Source organism: Homo sapiens, chromosome 16 (assembly GCF_000001405.40).
Source record: "Homo sapiens chromosome 16, GRCh38.p14 Primary Assembly".
NCBI classification, from domain to species: domain Eukaryota; kingdom Metazoa; phylum Chordata; class Mammalia; order Primates; family Hominidae; genus Homo; species Homo sapiens.
In genome coordinates, this window is record NC_000016.10 from 49492146 (window position 1) to 49512056 (window position 19911).

Here is a 19911-nt window from a genome sequence, read left to right on the forward strand (position 1 = left end):
TTGGCATCTGAAAGCCGTCTTTTTGTTTCTTTTCAGTGGTTCGTGTTCCAAATTCAGACCCATTTCATCAAAGCCTCAGGTGGTGCTCCACCTCATGACACCTGGAGAAAGGAGGCAACATCCACCAGGTGTAGGGTGGCCCTGTTTGGGGCCGCACAGGACCCTAGATCCCCGGGAGAGGCTCCTTCTGGGCGCCCCCCAGGGCCCGGCGACTCCTGCAGCTGTGCCGCTGACCGCCAGGGGTCAGCAGAGGCACCGCGTCTCTCCTGGGCTCGGGTCCGCGGCGAGGGCGACCAGGTGATGCCAGTAGCCTCGCCCGGAGGCCGAGGCCGGGGCCGGGGCCGGGGCCGGGGCCGAGACGGGCCACTCCTGCTCCCTGGAGCAGGGCCCCGCGCAGTCCCTTCCCGTGACGGGCACTGCGAAGGCTGCGGCCCCCGTGGTAATGTCACCGACCCTTCCTGCGAGCTCCCGGCCGGGAAGAGGCAGCCCGCGCCTGCCTCCCAGCAGATGCCCACAGCGCCAAGCGACAGCCTCGTGCTCATGCGGGCGGAGCAGGCGCACGGCCGGGGCTTGGTGGGCATGCGTGCTCTGTGCCGTGGCAGGCACCGCTCTTTCAATCCTCACAACAGCCTTGCGAGGTGGGACTTCTTAAGATGAAGACACCGAGGCCTAGGAAGGCAAAAATTACAGGCCCAAGGTCACCCAGGTTGGAAGCACCGGGCACTGAACCAGATGGCTGGAATCCACTAGAGCAAGGGGATTTTCAGGGGAGCCAGGCTTCCCAGGGCCTGCACCCCATGGGCACCGCAGTCTGCAAATCACCCGCATTCTGCACCAGACACAGTGCCACCTCTGCCGGCCGGGCCTGACACCTCGGTCGGGGGCGTCAGGGACCCAGAGGCACCAGGCAGGTTGTCTGAGGCCACAGATGGGATGCAGGCGGTTTCCATGGGAACCCGCACCCTCCAGCCGTGGCACCTCTCCCTGTACTTGTGCAGGGACAGCCAGCTAGTCCTGTGGGGAGCCGAATCCACACTCTACACAGCCATCCTCCTGCTACCTTCAAGCCTCTGCTGACTCAGTTCCCGCCTCCCTTCTCCTCCCTCCCAACCAAGCTGCTCTTTGAGTCCTCTAGGCACATGGATCACTTCCCATCCCTGCAGACCTCTCCAGGCACCTGCAGCCCACCTCCCACACAGCCACGCACCTCTCATGAGCTAGACTGACCTCCTTTGCTGAGCTGCACACAGGGTGGCGGCACCTCCTTTCTCAGGACCCAGGGCTGGGCATGCACTGTCCTGACCATACGCCTGGGCCTCCAATCCCCAGCAGGCACAGCTGCCCAGGAGCAACTTGGAGGTCTGCACTTTCACACCCTGCCAACCGCCAGTCAAAAACCCCTGCTATCTTGGTGTGGGTGGGTCATTCTTTATTAGGGGGAGGACAGGGAGGAGGAAGAGAGGGGACATGAGGAAGGGAGACATGGACAGCTCTTTCTTGTCCTCAAATTATGGTTCCTAGGGCCTGGCACAAAGTAGACACTCAGGCAGTATTTGTGAATGAGTCAATGGAAAGAAAACGAATGAATGTATGGATAGGATGTGGATATGTGGAAAGGGGAGAGGGCATTCCAAGAGGAAAGAATAGCAGAGACGGAGGTGTGGAGCCTAGAATCCAAGTGGCGATGCAGGCACAGGTCCCAGCACAGAAGTCACAGGAAGGCTGGTGGGCACATGGCCTACGGACAGTGGAGGCCTTGAGTACCAACAAACATGGACTTTGTTCCACAGGCCACAGAAAACCAGACATGATATTCGATCTCCACAAAATCCCCAAGGACCACCCACTACCAACATGGGCACAGGGGGTGTCTGGGATCTCTGGAGAATGAAGCAGCCTGTTGCCAGGATGCCAAGAACAGGCTCAGTGTGACACACATGGCCCACACTGGCTCACCAGGGCACTGCTGGTGCAGACATGATGAAGGCTGGAACCCACACCTGGGACCACTGGTGAGGAAAACTCCAGAATGCCTATGCCATTCCCCAGGAAAAGCCACAGTGTGCCTGCCCACTTAAATAGCAGTAGCAGGGGGCTCTGAGGTTACACTCAAGAAAGAACTTCCTCCTAGAGGGTTCTGAGACAGAAGGATAAAACTTCCTTCCCTGAAGTTTTGTGACAGGAACAAAAGCCCAGGATGTCACAGCAGATGGAAATGTCAAAACTTGATGCCCCAAGGGGACCAGGCACCAGAATTCACTCAGCACTACATTATTAAGCACCTGCTGGATGCTCTGCTCTGCACTGGCACAGTGAGGGGGAGGGGAAGACACCAGCTGGGCCTACCCCTCGAGGGGCCTGATTTAGAGGGGCTAGACACAGACACCCAAACATTTGTGGGATTAATGGTGCAGCTGGCAGCTCAGCTAGGGAAACTGGTCAAGGTCACCCGATCAGTTTGTGTGATGGTGGTGGGGAGCCCAGAGGTGCCCAGGTGCTCAGCCAAGGAGGGCATTGGCTCCTCCATAGGCCAAGGGCAGTATCTCAACAGGCAGAGGAGGTGGTGGGACCCCTGTCCCCAAGACTTACCAGTCGCCCAACACCAGGACACAGAGCAGCTCTGGACAGCTACTGCAATCAGCACAGTTCAATAACCGTGAAAGAACCCGTGGTCCGTCCCCCACAGCTAGAAGCTGTGGTTTGAGGAACGTGGGGAGGTTCAGCAAACCTTCTTAAAGAGTTCTTTCCATCCAGCATAGTTCTCACAAGGGCATTCAGCCTTAATGTCTCTTTCTCTGTTTATGCCTGTGCTATATTTAGCCCCTTTAGAGAAGGAAGAAAATCGTTTTTTAAAGATGCTACCCACCCCACAGATGAACACTTCCCACCACCATAAAGGCTGGGGGTGGAGACAGGGGCCCAGGGAAGGACTGGAAAATGCCTAGAGGGAGGCCTGGCATCCACTCGGCCTCGCTGCCTGCCAGGGAGACACAGGTGTGGGCCAGAGAAGCAGGTGAGGAAAATAAAACGGGAGAGCAGGAGGGGGTGGGCAGCAATGGTTTGCAGCCTCAATCCATCCACTCAGCAGAGCTCGTGTGCTCTCCTGGATGGAGGTTTCTGGTACAGCCTGTTTTGGGGGCCTCTGCCTGGCACACGGGGCCAGGGACACAAGACAGTGATAGCCAAGGGGATGGCATGGGCCCGGGCACAGAAACCTGTGTGCTGCCTATGCTGGGGGCAGGCCTACCCTGGGTCCTGGTGAGACCCACAAAAAGAGCCCTCTCTGTGCAAATCGTCAGCAGAGCACTCAGGAACTGGTTCCCTGACACACCCTCAGCCTCTGGAAGGAAAGAAGCCCAGCATTCATTTCATGGTTGCTCATTCATTCATTCGTCTTTGAGCCAATGAGCCACTATGCTTGTTGCTGGGAATTCAGCAGCAAAATGATCCTGATCCTGAACCCAATCCAGGGTAATGTTTTGTGCATGGAAGGAGCGGGCCAGAGTACAGAGCCTGGTGGCTACACTGTCCTTCCCAAAGCACCGCCACACACTAGAGGGAATGGGCTCCTTGGAGGTTCAGCTGGGGTCTGATGCTGGTTTTGCGCGCCCCAGGAGGGGGCCCTGGCTCAGCCCACCTCCATGCCCAACACAGTCACAAACAGGAACACTGTGTGCCTCTCCCTAGTGTGAAGCCCAGGATTGCTTCTCAAGATCTTGGCTCCATTCTCTGTTGCTTAGGCGTGGGACCCTGCCTGGTCTCCCTTTGATACCTATCCATCACCATGTCAAGTGGGAGAGACGTGAGGGGCTTAAGCATGCCAGCAGCATAAAGCAAAAGAGCTTCTCCACACACCCTGCTAGCTGCCTCTCCTGGCTCTCAGCTACTCTGAGGACAGTGTCTGTAAAGTCCTAGCACCTTGCCTTGTCCTTGGCAAGTGCTCCATTGGTGCTAGCCACTGCCCTGGTGACCTCAAGGTGGGCAGGAAGCTTTCGTGGGCCGAGATGGGCTACGCCTTGGGTTTGAATCTTGGCTCTGCCACTTACTGGCCATGTGGCCTTGGGCAAGTTCTGTGACCTCCGGGTTTTGGGGGTGGTTAATAACACAGCCCTCTTCCTAAGATGCTGATAGGGTTTGGATGTTTGTCCCCTCCAAATCTCATGTTGAAATGGGATCCCCAGTGTTGGAGGTGGGGCCTAGTGGGAGGTGTTTAGGTCATGGGAGAGGATCCCTCACGGACAGCTTGGTGTCCTCTGGGCAGTAATGACTTACCATTAGATCTGCTTGTTAAAAAATGTCTGGTGCCTCCTTGCAATCTCTCTCTCTCCCCATGTGACGGACTAGCTCCCCTTGCCTTCCATCATCATTGGAAGCTTCCTGAGGCCTCACCAGAAACAGATGGTGGCGCCTTGCTTCCTGTACAGCCTATAGAACTGTGAACCAAATAAAACTGTTTTCTTCATAAATTACCCAGCCTCAAGTATTTCTTTATAGCAACACAAAACAGACTAATACAGATGCCCTGAGGACTCAGGAGATAATGCCTGCATACGTCCCAGTCTGGCTACGGCAAATGCTCCACAGATCTCCATAGTGGTGTCTGTGCTGGTCTTCCTGACCCAGCAGGGTGCTCTGTGGCATGAGGACTGTCTTCTGGTCTTCCTGACCTGGCAGGGTGCTCCACGGCAGAGGGACTGTTTGCTCCCTGCCACTTCTGTGGGACCAGGCACGATTGGGGCTTACAGTGAGGGCCTCATAGAGGTTTAATGGACTGACCAGCTGTACCCCTCCCCCTTCCCCTCTGGGTGTCCAAAGGGCTGGCAAGGTCTTAAGAACAATCCCGAGATGGCTGAACTTTGGATGGTCCTGCCCTTGGAACAACAGGTGTCATTATCCCCTCCCCATAATCCCCCCTGGCTAGAACCCCTGTACCCACAAATCACTGCTTTCTCCTCCCCACCCTCAGGAACAGAATGCCATGTCTGCAGGGGAGGACAGCCTCAGGGAGACTCCACAGGGGATGGAATAGGTGTGCACTCATCCACCCATCCACTCACCCATCCATCCATCCGCCCATCTATTCATCTATCCATCCATCCATCCATGCATACATTTCTTCCACAGATGTTCACTGAGTTCCTGTCTGTCAGGCCCTGGGCTGGGCACTGGGCACAGACAGGTTGAGAAGCTCCAGCGCCCTCCCGTGAGGAGCTCACAATTTCATGGTGAGGGTGCCGATGGCCAAACTCATAGACCCTGAAGACCATTAAGAGGCAAAAAAGAAGGCTTGGCTCTTCTCTGGAGACTAGGCCGTGGTTCTGGCCCTTGAGTCTTTGAGTCCCTATAGCATATGAAGGCACAAGAACACTCAGCCCCCACACCCAGAGCATCCCACCCTGCTCTCCCGGCCCCACCTGCAGAGCCACCCGGCCTGCACATCACCTCACTGTGATTTCCGGTTGGGAAAGAGGTTGTGGCCAATCCCCCTTCTCCCCACTGCCCACCACTGGCCACTCCCTGGCAGGTTCCAGCCACAGTGGCTCTCACAAGGCTGGCTTTACAACTCACTTTCTCCAGGAGCTAGGGCCAAGCCCGAGAATGCACCTTAACCACTGAGAGATTCCCTTTCCAGGGGAAGAAGTAGCCCTTGAGGCTGAAGTGGCAGCCATGTTCGTGCTCAGCAGGGGTGAAGTTGGGTCCCGTTATTTGTTCACTTAGCAAACAAGGCACCTGGCCCTGTGCAGTAGACGGAAGAGAGCAAGTGAGGCACAATCCTGGCCTTTTAAGGACTATAGAGAGAGGACTTCCAATAGGAGATGCTTAAGGAAGAAGCTGGCCTTTTAGCTGCCCTTTAAGGACAGCCCAGGTGAGGATTTGCACTGGGTGTGTGTGTGAGAGCTTGAGAGATGGTTTTCCAGGCAGAGTGAACCCCTGGACAACAGCACGAAGGTGGGAATGGCACCGATCATGATCGCTGCTAACACTGATGGTAGGCTCACTGTGTGCCAGACACCATTCTTAACCTCCACCCATATTAGCTCATTTAAGCCTCACGACTGCCCTGCGCATTAAATACTCTCATCCTCCCTATTTTACAGATGAGAAAACTGAGGCGCAGAGAGGCCCAGGTCCTGCCACTGGTGATGGCAGTGCTGGGTCTGCACCCATGCAGTCTGTCTGCAGAGCCCACTCTTCACCACCACACTGTTCTGCCTGTGAGATGTGAAAAGTGCAGCATATGTTGGGGGAACAATGAATAATTCAGCTTGGCAGAAGCACAGGGTATGTGCCATGGAGACCAGCCTGGAGAGGAAGGCGGGGGCCTTATTGATGAGGCTCCTTGATGCCAGACGAGGCAGCTTGCCCTTAAATCTGGGCCATGGGGAGCCATGGAAGGTATTTGAGCTGTGGAGTTACAGGAGAGGCAAGACACAGGGAGAAGCTCATGCCTCCAGCCAAAAAGGTGTGTCAGCAGGGCCTTCTCGCCCATCATTTCCCTCTGCTCCCATCCCCTGTTCCCTGGAAAACCTTCCCCTTTCCTCCCACACTTTACTTCTTTCCCTTTGGGAAGGGTATAGATACAGGCAGCCCTGCCTCCCCTATCTGCTGTGTATCACCTGGGCAGCCCCTCTCTGCTTGTGAGCACTTATTTTTAGAAGAATTTGACAATCGTCCAAGGGTCTAAGACGAACAGATGGCCTGTCTTAAAGGCTCATATGTTCGCTAGTTTGCACTTCTGACAAACGGTAAGCATACTCGAGAGCACACCATAAACAGCGCCGAATGAATACTCAGAACACAATTTAGCTAATGCATGTCATTAAAATTAGGAGTGAGTGATGGCCAAGGTTCCCTCTAAATGCCTGCCCTGTGATGCAGTCAATCCCCCGGGGCCCAGGCTATGACGTGGACACACCTCACTTCTCCCATGACCCCCACCCAGCAAGCCGAGGTTTGCCTCATTTACGCAGATGGCAGGGCAAGGTTTGCCCGAGTGGGTGTGACACCCAACCCTGGCCTCAGAGTGAAGCTGGTGGCCCACTGGCCTTGGACAAAGCCCTGAGATGTCCTATGGCAGAGGGAGCAGCAGCTCTTCCATGCACGGGATGTGCGTGAGGTTTTCCCGTCCCTGCCTGCCAGACAGTGAGGCAGCCTGTCGTCTGCCACCCCGGAGCAGCAGGAGATGAGTGTTGCAACGCTCAGCCAGGGAAGCTGTCTCTCATGTGAGAGCCTCAATTCATCCGGAACTCCCGGCCTAGAGGGAGATTCCAACTTCCAGGGAGCAAGGGGATTGGCTTTGGGGTGGGGGTTCTGCAGCTTCCTTGCCGAACCAGTAGCAGAAGCAGATGCAGCGACCTGAGTCACCTGGGGTAACATTTGAGAAAGAGCCACATCCACACAGCCTCTGACCCAGACTCCTTTTATTGATGCCAACCGGATCCAGGTTTTCCGTGTTCTTGAGATGCTCTATGGAGCCGAGGCGGGGAGGAGGGTGCCCCCCACTTTCCGTGAACCCCCTCTTGCCAGGACACAAAAGACCAACGCAGGTGGCTTGGTCAACAATCAGTTCCATGAGCAGGAAACTCTTCCCTCGCATGAAAACGTGGGAGAAAATATTGTGGGGAAGAAAAAAGCCCAATAAACTCCCAAGAGGGCAGGTTCTGTACTGCTGTACTTTGGAAATAAAACCCACCAGGGGATAGATTATTAGGAGGGAACCGAAGCCTTCTATTAGGAACCCAGCCCGTAAACAGGCTCCCATTCAGAGTCACCCAACAAAACAAGGGGACTAATAATACCTGCCTGGAGGGACAGGGGACTCAGGGGAGCTGCACTTCAGAATGCAAATGGGCCCCGTCAGTCTGTTTGTGAGCAGAGAATTGGGTGAGCGGTGAGACTTTAGATAGCAGCCGTGCAAGGGAAAATGAGAGTTTTATGGCTGTTGTCACAAGCAAAGGAAGATGGAATGCTTCCAGGGCTGCTTATAGACTTGCTCCTCCTCAGCAACAGAGTCTATGCCTGACTCTGAGGCCTGAGTTAATGTGACCCCCACCTACTGCTGCTGTTTCTCCAAAGAAGGTGGGGGTACCCTGTGGCTAAGCCCCTTGGGGACAGGGTACCTAGCAGCAGATTCAGGACTGAAAATCGGGGGTCCTAGCAACAGTGTGCCAGGTGACCACAAGTTCACTTCTGTGGCCTTTGGCCCCCTCCTGGGTAGAAATGCTGCACTGATCTTGTCAACCTGTGGCCACTGCAAACTCCATTCTAACCACAGCAGCCTGCTTGAAACCAGGCCCCCGTGGGACAGCTCATCTCAAATATGAATTAGTGCACAGTCCCCTGCCCTAAAAGAGCCTGAATCAGACCCCTAAAAGATGGGGCCCCAATCTGATGCTGCTGGGCCAGGAATCCAGTCAAGTGCACCTCTTGCAAAGCCTTGAGAAGAGCCTGGGGTGGAAGTGACGAAACTCCATAAAAAATGGCACTGGAGCTGGGTGAGTGGCTCATGCCCGGAATCCCAGCACTTTGGAGGCTGAAGTGGGAGGATCACTTGAAGCCAGGAGTTTGAGATCAGCCTGGGTGAAACCCCATCTCTACGAAAAAAAAAAAAAATTAGGTGGGTGTGGTGGCGTGTGCCTGTAGTCCCAGCTACTCGGATGGCTGAGGCGGGAGGATCACTTGAGCCCAGAAATTTGAGGCTGCAGTGAACTAGGATCATGCCAGTGCACTCCAGCCACAGGGTGAGACCTCATTTAAAAAAAAAAAAGGCTATTGGGTGGACGGGTTCTCAAAACCAAAAAAGGGTTCACTTCAAAGTATATCTGTTGCTCTTAGTGTGGGTCAAAGAAGATCATGCACGTGAAGCAGTTTGGGAAGACGGAAGCACCTGTCAGCAGGGGTACCAATGCTCAGAAAATGTTTATGTCATGAAAAAGAGCGGGTGAATTCCAGGAGATCTGTCTGCAGTGGGGAGGATTCCTCTGACCACATGGAACTGCATGTCTGGATGGAGGCCTCAAGATTAGAGTGTGGGTGCTGTCAGGTTCACACCATGGACAAGTGCAGCACAGGCCAGGTGCAAAGCAGTAAGACCCAGTGGGGTCTGTGTCAGCCCCAAGAACTCAAACTTTGTCAAGAAGAGGCAGCACTTGTCAGCTCTAGGCAATGACTGCCACATGCGAATATAGGCCCAGTGTTGCTTCCGGTTTTGCAAGAAAACTGGAAATTTAGATTTGTTTAAAATATCAGCTTTCTTAGAGGAATGCTTATACACTGTTGGTGGGAATGCAGATTAGTTCAGACACTGTGGAAAGCAGTTTGGAGATTTTTCAAAGAACTAAGAATTGAACTACCATTCAACCCAGCAATCCCATTACTGCAGATGCATCCAAAGGAAAATAAGCATTCCACCAAAAAGAAACATGAACTCATATGTCCACTGCAGCACTATTGACAGTAGCGAAGACATGAAACCAACCCAGGCGCCCACCAAGAGTGGGTTGGATAATGAAAATGTGGTACATATATATATCATGGAATATTATGCATCCATAAAAAAGAATAAAATCATGTCCTTTGCAGCAACATGGATGCAGCTAGCAGCCATTATCCTAAGTGAACTAATGCAGACACAGAAAACCAAATACCACATGTTCTCACTCATAAGTGGGAGTTAAACACTGTGGTGCGCACAGACATAAAGTTGGGAGCAATAGAAACTGGGGAATAAAAGAGCTGGGAGGGAGGGAGGGGACAAGGGTTGAAAAACAACCTATGAGGTACTATGTTCATGACCTGGGTGATGCATTCAGTCATACCCCAAACCTCAGCAGCATGCAATATACCCATGTAATTAACCTGCACATGTATTCCTGGAATCTAAAATAAAAGTTGGGGGAAAACGGAAGTAAAATAAATCCATAAACTTTCTTGATGTTTAAAGTACTATGCAAGCCCACGAAAACATATCTGCAGGTTGAATCTGGCCCTCGGGCCACCAGCTTGAGACCTCTGGGGTTGGTGAGGGCCTCGAGAAGCCCCAGACACCCTGAAGTGAGGTGGGGAGTGGTGTCATTAGGCAGCAGATGGCCCAACATTAGTTGAATCCTCAGCCAAGGGGCTGGGATGTGGGACTCGGTGTGGTTAAGTTCTGACAAAGAGGGTAAGGGTAGAAGATGAAGTTCTGTTAAGACAGAACCATCCATATGTCCTGGGTTCTGCTGCCTCATGGGCATTCCCACCCAGCCAGCCCAAGTGTTTCTGGGTGCGCCAGGTGCTGGCAAACCTGGGAGACCAAGGAGCATGTAAGGAGACCAGAAACTCCCACTTTCCTAGAGCCACCCAGGAGGCTCAACACGGCTGTCTCGGGGGTTGTCCGTGGGCTATCTGGAGAGACAAGCGCCAGAGTTTGCCACATGACCGCATTCAAAAATCTGGACCATAAGTAACCCCCACACCTTCCTTGCTTCAAAGGACCTGAGATCCCTCCCTTCTACCCTCCACAGTGTCCCATGGGGAATAGGAGAGGCCAGGCATGGTAGAGGGGCAGCCCCTTGGGGTGCTTACGAAAGCAGCCTCCCAAGGCAGCGTTCCTATTACTGTGCACACACCACTCTATATGCATGCACACACACAAATACTCTAGACACACACACACACACACACACACACACCTGCCCCCGTCATGTGCCCACCCTCCCCACACACGGATACCCCCCAATCCCATGTGCCCACACACATAGGTCCCCACAATCCCATGTGCACGCATACACACACACACACACACACACACACACACATGGATGCCCCACAATCCCATGCACACTCACACACACACGGATACCCCACAATCCCATGCACACTCATGGACACCCCACAACCCCATGCAGGTACACACTCATGGATACCCTCGAATCCCCCCCCAGAAACACACACACACACCCCAGTCCTGACACTAACCATGTAGTGCTAAGCGGTCAGAGGCCAGTTACTTTTACTTTGGCCTTCTGTCTACCCTGTGCGGCTAATCTGCCCCACGTTCACCCCACTGCTGAGTCCCTCCAGCAGCCCCACCTGCCCAGGACGCAAGGGCCCCTTGAAGGCCCCCTTCCTGGCAAAGGAAAGCTGAGAAAACAACGTGAAGCACAGTCCGGGTTGTCTCCTCGAGGAGGCAGAGCTGTAGAAGGGTTTCTGCTTTTTAAACTCCCTGGCGGGTCCCACCCACACCCGGAACACATCCGGACTCTGACCACAGCCCAGATGGCCCTCCATGGTCTGGTTCTTGCTGGCCCACAGCCTCAGCCACCACCTTCTGCCAGGCCCCCAAACACCGCAGCCCGGAAGCCCCTCCCCCTCCCAGCAGCACTCCCGCTATCCAGAGTGTCCCCCACACCCCAGTTTTCCTGGGGCTTCTCCACATCGGAGCCATCCTCCTGGAGCAGGCTTCCTGTCCGCTGACCACAGACTCCCATCACAACATCGCTCTGCACCTTGCAGAGGCTTCAACTCTGCATGTCCTGCAACTTGCAGTGACCTGGTTGTTGACGCACCATGGCCAACTGCCCCTCATGACACCATCAGCGCAACAAGACAGGGACCTTGTCTCAGCTCTCCACTGTACCCCATTAGCTCAGAGCCTGTGCTTGGTAAAAACTCAACGAGTATTTCTGAAATGACAGCCTGCAAGCTACTGTAGCAAAGCCAGGCCTCCACTGATAGGGTCAAGGGAGAAGAAGAAAAAATACAGTTGCCCCGCTCCACTGTCTTCCCCATAACCCTTGCCCCGGCCATGCCCAGAGCAGGTTATACCTTTTTCTTAAAGCTGGGATGGATCCTTTGAGGACACTAGGCCAGGTGGAATGAATTATTATATGATTTCTCTTGTACGAGGTGCCTAAAACAGCCAAATCATAGAGATGGAAAGTGGAACAGTGGCTGCTGGGGGCTGGGAAAAGGGGAAATGGGGAGTTAATGTTTAACAGGAACAGAGTTTCAGATGGGAAAGATGAAAAAGTTCTGGAGGTAGATGGTGGTGATGATTGCACAACAGTGTCAATGTGCTGAATGCCACTGAACCAGCACTTAAAAGTGGTTAAGATGGTAAATTTTATGCTACGTGAATTTTTACAATGAAAAACAGGCCAGGCACAGTGGCTCACACCTGTAATCCCAGCACCTTGGGAGGCCAGCACTTTGGGAGGCCAAGGTGGGCAGAACACTTGAGGCCACGAGTTCGATACCAGCCTAGCCAACATGGCGAAACCCCATCTCTACCAAAAATGCAAAAATTAGCTGGGCATGGCAGCGTGTGTCTGTAATCCCAGCTACTCGGGAGGCTGAGGCAGGAGAATCACTTGAACCCAGGAAGCGGAGGTTGCAATGAGCTGAGATTGTGCCACTGCACTCCAGCCTGGGTGACAAAATGAGACTCTGTCACCACCACCAACAACAAAAAAGTGGGCAGGATCTTAGAAGGTAAGAGAAAGGGTTGCTGCACCAATAGCTAAGACACTCAGCGACATTCCTGGCTGGAAGGTGCACAGATCATAGCAGCCCGAGACATCCTCAGCTGGGTGGGAGGGAGCCACAGCATCCCAGGACAACATGCCACCAGCTGAGTGCAAGCAGAGGGGCTTTCTCTGTGCTGCTGGGGCTGAGCCATCCACTGTTGTCTACAGTGTGGCTCCCAGTGCCAGCTAGTGGAAGAACAGAAGACCTCAAGAGACTTGTGGAACTGGGAGCTCTTTCCCCTATGGAAAGGCCTCACCTGCAGTCATAGGCCAGTCCAGCAAAGGGGGCCCTGATGGCTTACAAATGCTGCAGGAAGGAAGTGTCTGTGTTTGCTCTGGCAGGGCAGGTGGGAGGCAGGAAGGTGAGCACAGGGCACACCTACACATGACATGTTTTGCCAGGTTGGAAAAAAATAAGTGGGAGAAAATTTTTTCTGACTCTGCAAGCCTTTACCACTTTAAATATTTATTCATCAAAATATGATGAGAAAACCAAGATCCACATAGAGTCACCATATTCCACAAACCAAAAATCAGGACAAACAGCCAAGAGCTGGGATGGAGTACTTGAAATCAGGACTGTACTGGAAAATCTAGGTCACACGGTCACTAATTATACAGAACACATATGTTCAGGTCCCCAAACTAACCCAGTGCTTTTAGGATTTGCAAATGATATAAGGAAACTTTGATCGTGTCCATTTTTACTTTCTTCCAAATTTTGGTTAAAAGGAAAACTTTCCTGCATCCTCAAAATTTCTAGAAAATTAAGTCCTACAGACTAAGAACTGTTCTGGCGGATATTCTGAGGGGGCCTCCTCAGAAAACATGGCCCATCAACCCCCAAGAATGGCCCCCAGCCCCTCATGGCCCAGCCCCCTTGCTGACAGACCCCCAGGCTGCAGGGCAGAAGCTTGTAAGGATGGACCTAATTTGCTGTGATAAATTGTGTGCACGCACCAGTGATCAAAACTGCAGCTGAGACCGATTACACTTTATGATTGTGACGGTTCTTGGGAAACACGTAGGTGTACATCCTTGCCAGTCCAGAGAGGGGGTCCAACCTGGCACCCAGCAAAGGGTGATCCCGTCACCCAGAAAGGCAGGGCTCCATGGGCTGCCCACTCTTTGGAAGCTGGTCCCACTGATGAGGCTGAAGAATGCTGTGGCCTGGCCTCAAATGCCTCGTCTGCCCTCTCATACATACCCAGCCTCCAACCAAACAGTGGGCACATTGTCACTGCCCAGATACCTGCCCCACAATGATCAAGTGGGTCTGCCCTGTGCCCCCCACTTCTATCACCAGGCAGAAGTCACTGGTTTTCATAATGCAAACCAAGAATTATCTATATCGCCAGTCTGTCCCATCCCACTCATCTCACCAGAGGGGTGTGTGCTTTCGTGTGTGTGTGTATGTGTGTGTAGGTATATGCACAGTTTTAAAGTAAGGAGAGGGATAGGTAAGAGTGAAGTGTGAAATTAAGAGCACACGAAGAAGGCATCCGAAAAGCTGTGTGGTTCTTGACACGTACCTCACACTCAATACTGGAGGGTGATGATGGTGAAAGAACGTGTAGCTGGATGGATAGGGAGATGGATGGTAGATGATGGATGGATGGATAAATGATGGATAGGTGGGTAGATGGGTATGGGGGAATGGATGGTAGACGGATGATGGACAGATGGATGGATGGGTAGATGGAGGAATAGGTAGGTGGAAGATGGATAGTGGATGAATTGGTGAGTGGGTGGATGGGTGGATAGATAGGTGGGTAGGTGGAGGAGTGGGTGGATGACAGATTGATGGGTAGATGAATGAATAGATGGATGGATGGATAGATGAAATGGTGTGTAGGTGATGGACAGATGTATGGATGGATGGAAAGGTGGGTGGATAGATAGGTGGGTAGGTGGAGGAGTGGGTGGATGACAGATTGATGGGTAGATGAATGAATAGATGGATGGATGGATAGATGAAATGGTGTGTAGGTGATGGACAGATGTATGGATGGATGGAAAGGTGGGTGGATAGATAGATGGAAGGATCAGTGGACAGATTGGTGAGTGGATGGATAGGTGGAGAGATGGGTAGGTGGACGAATGGGTAGGTGATAGATTGATAGACAGATGGATTGATGGATGAGTGGATGGGTGGCTGGAGGATGGATGAGAGGATGGATGCATGGATGGATGGATGGGTGGATGGATTGGTGAGTGGATGGATGAGTAGATGGATTGGTGAGTGGATGGATGAGTAGATGGATTGGTGGGTGGATGGATAAATGTGTAGATGAATGGATGAATGGTGGGAGGAAGAGGAGTGCATGAATAAATAACTGGGTAGGACGGTAAACGTTGATGAGTTGATGAGAAGACAATGGGCTTTGGAGATCAAATCTTGCCTTGGCTAATTACTGTCTTTCTGACCCTAGCCAAGTCACTCGCTTCTCTAAGCACTCCTTCACTCACCTGAAAAGTAAGACTAATAATATCTACCTCATTGCCTTGTTAGAAGCTTCAAGTTAGATAACATATGTAAAAGGTTTTATAACATGTAAAATGCTGTATGGACACTTAATAGGGTCATAACTAATACTAACCACAGGGCTTTGTCATCTCTGTCAACTAAAAAACATGGATGATCCCACATTTTTTTTTTGGTAGATACGGGGTCTCATTATGTTGTCCAGCCTGGTCTCAAACTCTTGACCTCAAGCCATTCTCCTGCCTCAGCCTCCCAAAGCACTGGGATTACAGGTGTGAGCCACCACGCCTGGCCAATACCACATTTTTGATGTGGCAGCTTCTGAGGCAAAGATGAGGAAACAAAGATGGCGCCACAGGTCAGGGCTGCAGCTGTCTAGACTATACCTCCAGGTGTGGCCTCAGCTGGGAAACTGGTCACTGTGCAGGAAGCAGAGAGCCTCACTTGCCTCCTCCGCTCAAACACTCAAACCCAAATGAGTAGAACACATTCCACAACTCCCACCACAAGCCCCACTTCTCTCTGCCAGTATCCTACTTTAATGCCCAGGTCCCAAGCCTGTATTCAAGTCTACAAAATGGTGAGAGTCAAGAGCATTTCTAGTGGCCCCTAGAATGTTGCAGAGGCAGCAATGGTTGCAGAGGCACCAATGAGATAATAATTGCAAACTGTGAAGTGTTTCAACGGGGTTACAAACTCACAGTGCAAGTTGGTAATAAGCCAGGTAAGGAAGGCCAGTTGTGGGCTGTGTTGAACCAGGAAGCACATCCCAGTATCCAAAGGGGTCACACAGAAATGTCGGCCAGGGGCTGCCAGGCCTGATTTATAGAAAAATCAATAAATCCAGCCATTTAGTGTGGTGGTGAAGAGGACAGAAGCCGGGGCTGGTGGCCTGGGTCCAGCATTAACCAGCTCTGAGGCCTTGGGGGGTTAGTTGACCTCTCTGTGCCTCATTTTGCTTGTCTTCATATTAGAGGCATTGTGAGGATCAAATGTTTTTATGCCTACCAGTGCTAAGAACAATGCCGGGCACTCAAAAAGCACTAGCTAAATGACTCTTTATGATGATGGAAATTCTCTGTTTTAAAACACAGACAACCAGCTAGGCGCATGGCTCATGCCTGTAATCCCAGCACTTTGGAAGGCCAAGGCAGTAAAATTGCTTGAGGCCAGGAGTTCTAGACCAGCCTAGGCAGCATAGTGAACCCTATCTTTACAAAAAATAAAAACGTTAGCTGGGTATAGTGGTGTGCACCTGTAGTCCCAGCTACTCAGGAGGCTGAGGTGGGAGTACTGCTTGAACCCAGGAGTTCAAGGCTGCAGAGAGCTATGATCACACCATTGCACTGCAGCCTGAGCAAGATTCTCTTTCTTAAAAAAAAAAAAAAAAAAAAAAAAGTGAAAATAGAATATAGAGAACCCTCTAAAAGTTCCACAATCCCCAGGCCATGGACTGTGAGTTTTCACCCTCTGCTCTATAAAAGTGTTCAATGTTATAAAAACAGTGACTTCTCCTTGTGCGTCCCTTCTCCCCTATGTGAGGAGAGACCGGGTTAGATTGTTCTGGATGCTCCTGAAGTCAGGGAGGGCAGGGGCAGGCATGGTTCCTTATCCTACTGGAAATCCCCTCCCTGCCCTAGACAATTTTAGCATCTTGCTCCTCACCTTCCACCACGCTTCCCACCAACGCTGTATTTTATTTACCCTAGAACCCCAAAGAGCATAAGATGCTCCAGTATTTTATGTATCACAACAAACAAAAAATATGACCAATTAAACTACAGCACACAAATGAGGTATTGCAACTTAATGTAAGAGAGGCTCTAAGGAGGAAAGCTGTGTATCTTAAAATACAACCGTGAAATAAGGCAACAGCTCCCGTATACTGAGCTCCTACCATGTGTCAGAAACTGGACTCTCTGCTCTTTATATATTATCTTTACTTCTCCCAGTTGTTCCCGTTTGACCGATGAAGAAATTGAGGCTCAGAAAAGCAAAGTGGCTCGCTAAGTCGTCTAGCTGGTAAGAGGTGGTACATAGATTTTAGCCCAAATGGCCCTGTCCTAGGATGACTACCTCCTTCCCTCTCACTGTCCCCTGCCACTCCCATCCCTGCTGTCCCCTGGGACGCCTAAAGGAGACACCAAACTGAAACTGTCACTTTCCCTTGCTCATATTGCAGCCACACAGTGAATCTCAATGCAGCCCCGGACAAGCCCCAGTCCGTCCATGATTGATTCTGTCTAAACTTCAGAAGCAGAATGAGTGGAGCCACATTATTGACACAGCAAAATTAATTTTCTGCCATCTCCTCTTCCCCATGCCCGGCCCCCAGCACCTCGCCTCTCCTATGAGTATTGGCGCACGGCTGCTGACGGGTGCTCCTGAAATGCCAACTTGCATTTCTCATCATTAATTTCTTTGTAAATGTCATTAGTAATTGTTCCTGCTTGACCAAAGAGTACAATCCAGGCTTCCACCCAGAGCACCCTGGTCTCTCGTTGATGGGGGCTAAGACATCCCCAGCCATGCCAGACCCCAGCCTCCTGATGCAGGCAGCCATCCCCGCTCCCAATAAGTCAGGATCACAGGCTGCTGTATCAAGAAAGTTCTGACACAAATGGAGTTCAGTAACACAAAACATCCTGCCCTTGGTGTTAGGACAATGGTTGTATGTTCAGGCTGCCTGGGTTCAAATCTCATCTCTGCCCAACTATGCCTCAGTCTCCCCACCTGTGAAACGGGGATAACAGCAGCACTGGCTTCATAGGTTTGCCCTCAGAATGGGAAAAAAATCAAGGCAAAAGGATTCCCTTAGTGCCTGGTTGGTGGTGGTGCTACCATCGTCCTTCACCTTGCCTCTTACCACCAGGGTTGCAGGTTCAGCTCTGCCACTTACCAGCCGTGGGACACGACATCAAGCGAGTGGCTTAAACTCGCTGTTGAGCCTGCTTCTCCCATCTGTGAAAGAGGGACAGTGATATCCACATCAACTCTGCCAATTCCACCTCAGATGTTGCCTCCTCCATGTGGCCTTCCTAGGGGACCAGGCACCATGCTCGATGATCTACAAGCATGATGCTGCATCCCCACAGTAACCCTCCAAGAGGGGCACTGGCAGCCCACTGTCCAGGTGACGACAATGAGTCACCGTGAGGGAGGTCACATGCCCAAGGTCACATTGACAAAGCAACTCTGAGGCCCCCAAACCTCATTTCTGGGGGGTGGACGTTGACTGTGCTCCTTGTCCCTAGAAGGCCCAGGACACAGGCCTGAACCCTTCGCCGCAAAGCAGTAAAAATGAGGCAGTGCTTCCTGAGTGCTGCTAGGGACCTCACAGCAAGCCCTTCCCGTGAGTAGCTTCTTACGACCTCACATGAGTGTGTCTCCTTGTTGTAAATGGGTAAACTGAGACTCCCCATGTGGGCAGAGCTGCCAGGAAAGCAGAGCTATGAGCCCAGGTGGTCTGACAGGAGTGTCTGTGTCTGTGTCTATGTCTGGGGTCTTCCCCTCAGGCCCCAAGGCCCCATGTCTTCCCGTGTGAGAGGCTCCCTCTTTGTCTGAGTCAATGCGGGGCAGGGCTTACAGGGTGCAAACCTCTGTGGATGTGGAGCCGGTGAGGCGCCGCCACTCGCAGTGTTGTCACTGTTACTAAGAAACTGAAGGCATGTGGTCCCGGCTGAGGCAGCGCCGGGGAGGGGTTCGGCTCGCCACACACACAATGGCCACCGGCCTGAGGCTCCTGGCAGCTCCCCCGTGCCCATCTGTCGAGATGGCATGGTGCCCTCTAAAGTTGGTTGGCCCCCTGCCCTAGGGCATGAATGACAGGCTCCAATGGGCAGACGGGCAGCCGGAGGCTGATTCCAAGTGCCATCTCTGCCTGGAGCTGGGCCTTGAGGGGAGGCCCCCCAGTCCCCACCTGGGCCTCCACACACTTCATTGCTCAGGCGAGCTGACCCTCAAGGCTCACGAGGGTATCTGAGCACAGCTGGACACAGACTTCTGTTTCAACACTACCCCTCCGGTGCCCGCTCCTCACTGCGCCTCTGTGGTGACCAGGGAGAAGCCATTGCTCACCCAGGGCTGTCCAGACCAGCGACAGTATCATGCCCCGGGAGCTGCATGCAGCCTCCATGTCACCCTCTAGAACGCCTGCCTCGCTGGGAGGTGAGGCCCACTTCGAGACCCTGCACCCAGAGACCTACCCTTGGCTTCTAAGGGCTTTGAGAGTCATCTCCAACCCCACTGCCTCAGCCCGCAGGCTGCGAACACAGGCACTCATGTCAGACTGCCTGGCCTCACATTTCTCCACGCTGGCAGCTATGTCCACATGGGGAGCCTCAGTTTACCCATCTATGACATGGACCTCATGCGTGAGGTCCTAAGAGGCTACCCACATGAAGGGCTTACAGTCAGGTTCCCAGTAAGCACTCAGGAAATGCTGTCTCATTTGTACTACTTTGGGGTGAGGGGCTCAGGCCTGTGCCTTGGGCCTTCTAAGGACAAGGAGTGTTGTCAGTGTCCACCCCAGACTTCTCCCAAGGCAGACCACAAACTGCCACACATGGCCCCTCAGGAGACACAGCTGCCTCCAGTAGTGGCAGCAATAATAATCATGTCAATGACAACAGTGATGATGATGATGATGATGCCACACCTTATTAGGTTGGGAACACCCTTGCCCCACTTGACAGTAAATAAACCAAGGCTTAGAGACACAGACCAACTGTGCTCGTAACACAGTAACTTACAGGGAGCAAGGGCAAAGCTCAGGCTCCACAGTGCCCCTTAATGTCACATGGGGGCCCAACTGTGGGGCTCTGTTTTGTGTAGCACTTATGTTGTATTTAGTATGTAGTATGAGTGATATGGTATGATGCAGCACTATACTATACTATACTATATACTATACCATAT

At 52.4% G+C, this 19911-nt stretch overlaps 1 protein-coding gene across 15 annotated transcripts in view, besides 4 other annotated features; it reads right to left on the minus strand.

Moving 5' to 3' along the window:
• Positions 1-19911, minus strand: part of ZNF423 (zinc finger protein 423) — a 371756-nt gene that overhangs the window by 4622 nt on the left and 347223 nt on the right. The gene's annotated exons all lie outside the window — the stretch shown is intronic.
• Positions 381-1004: an enhancer, noted in NCBI's record as "H3K4me1 hESC enhancer chr16:49526437-49527060 (GRCh37/hg19 assembly coordinates)". NCBI's record gives its function as "activates a minimal SCP1, AML or CMV promoter by ChIP-STARR-seq in naive H9 embryonic stem cells {active_cell/tissue: H9 hESC(naive)}" and the evidence as "EXISTENCE:reporter gene assay evidence [ECO:0000049][PMID:30033119]".
• Positions 1005-1626: an enhancer, noted in NCBI's record as "H3K4me1 hESC enhancer chr16:49527061-49527682 (GRCh37/hg19 assembly coordinates)". NCBI's record gives its function as "activates a minimal SCP1, AML or CMV promoter by ChIP-STARR-seq in naive H9 embryonic stem cells {active_cell/tissue: H9 hESC(naive)}" and the evidence as "EXISTENCE:reporter gene assay evidence [ECO:0000049][PMID:30033119]".
• Positions 11003-11052: an enhancer, noted in NCBI's record as "active region_10804". NCBI's record gives its function as "activates an Ori minimal core promoter by ATAC-STARR-seq in GM12878 lymphoblastoid cells {active_cell/tissue: GM12878}" and the evidence as "EXISTENCE:reporter gene assay evidence [ECO:0000049][PMID:35858748]".
• Positions 11063-11162: an enhancer, noted in NCBI's record as "active region_10805". NCBI's record gives its function as "activates an Ori minimal core promoter by ATAC-STARR-seq in GM12878 lymphoblastoid cells {active_cell/tissue: GM12878}" and the evidence as "EXISTENCE:reporter gene assay evidence [ECO:0000049][PMID:35858748]".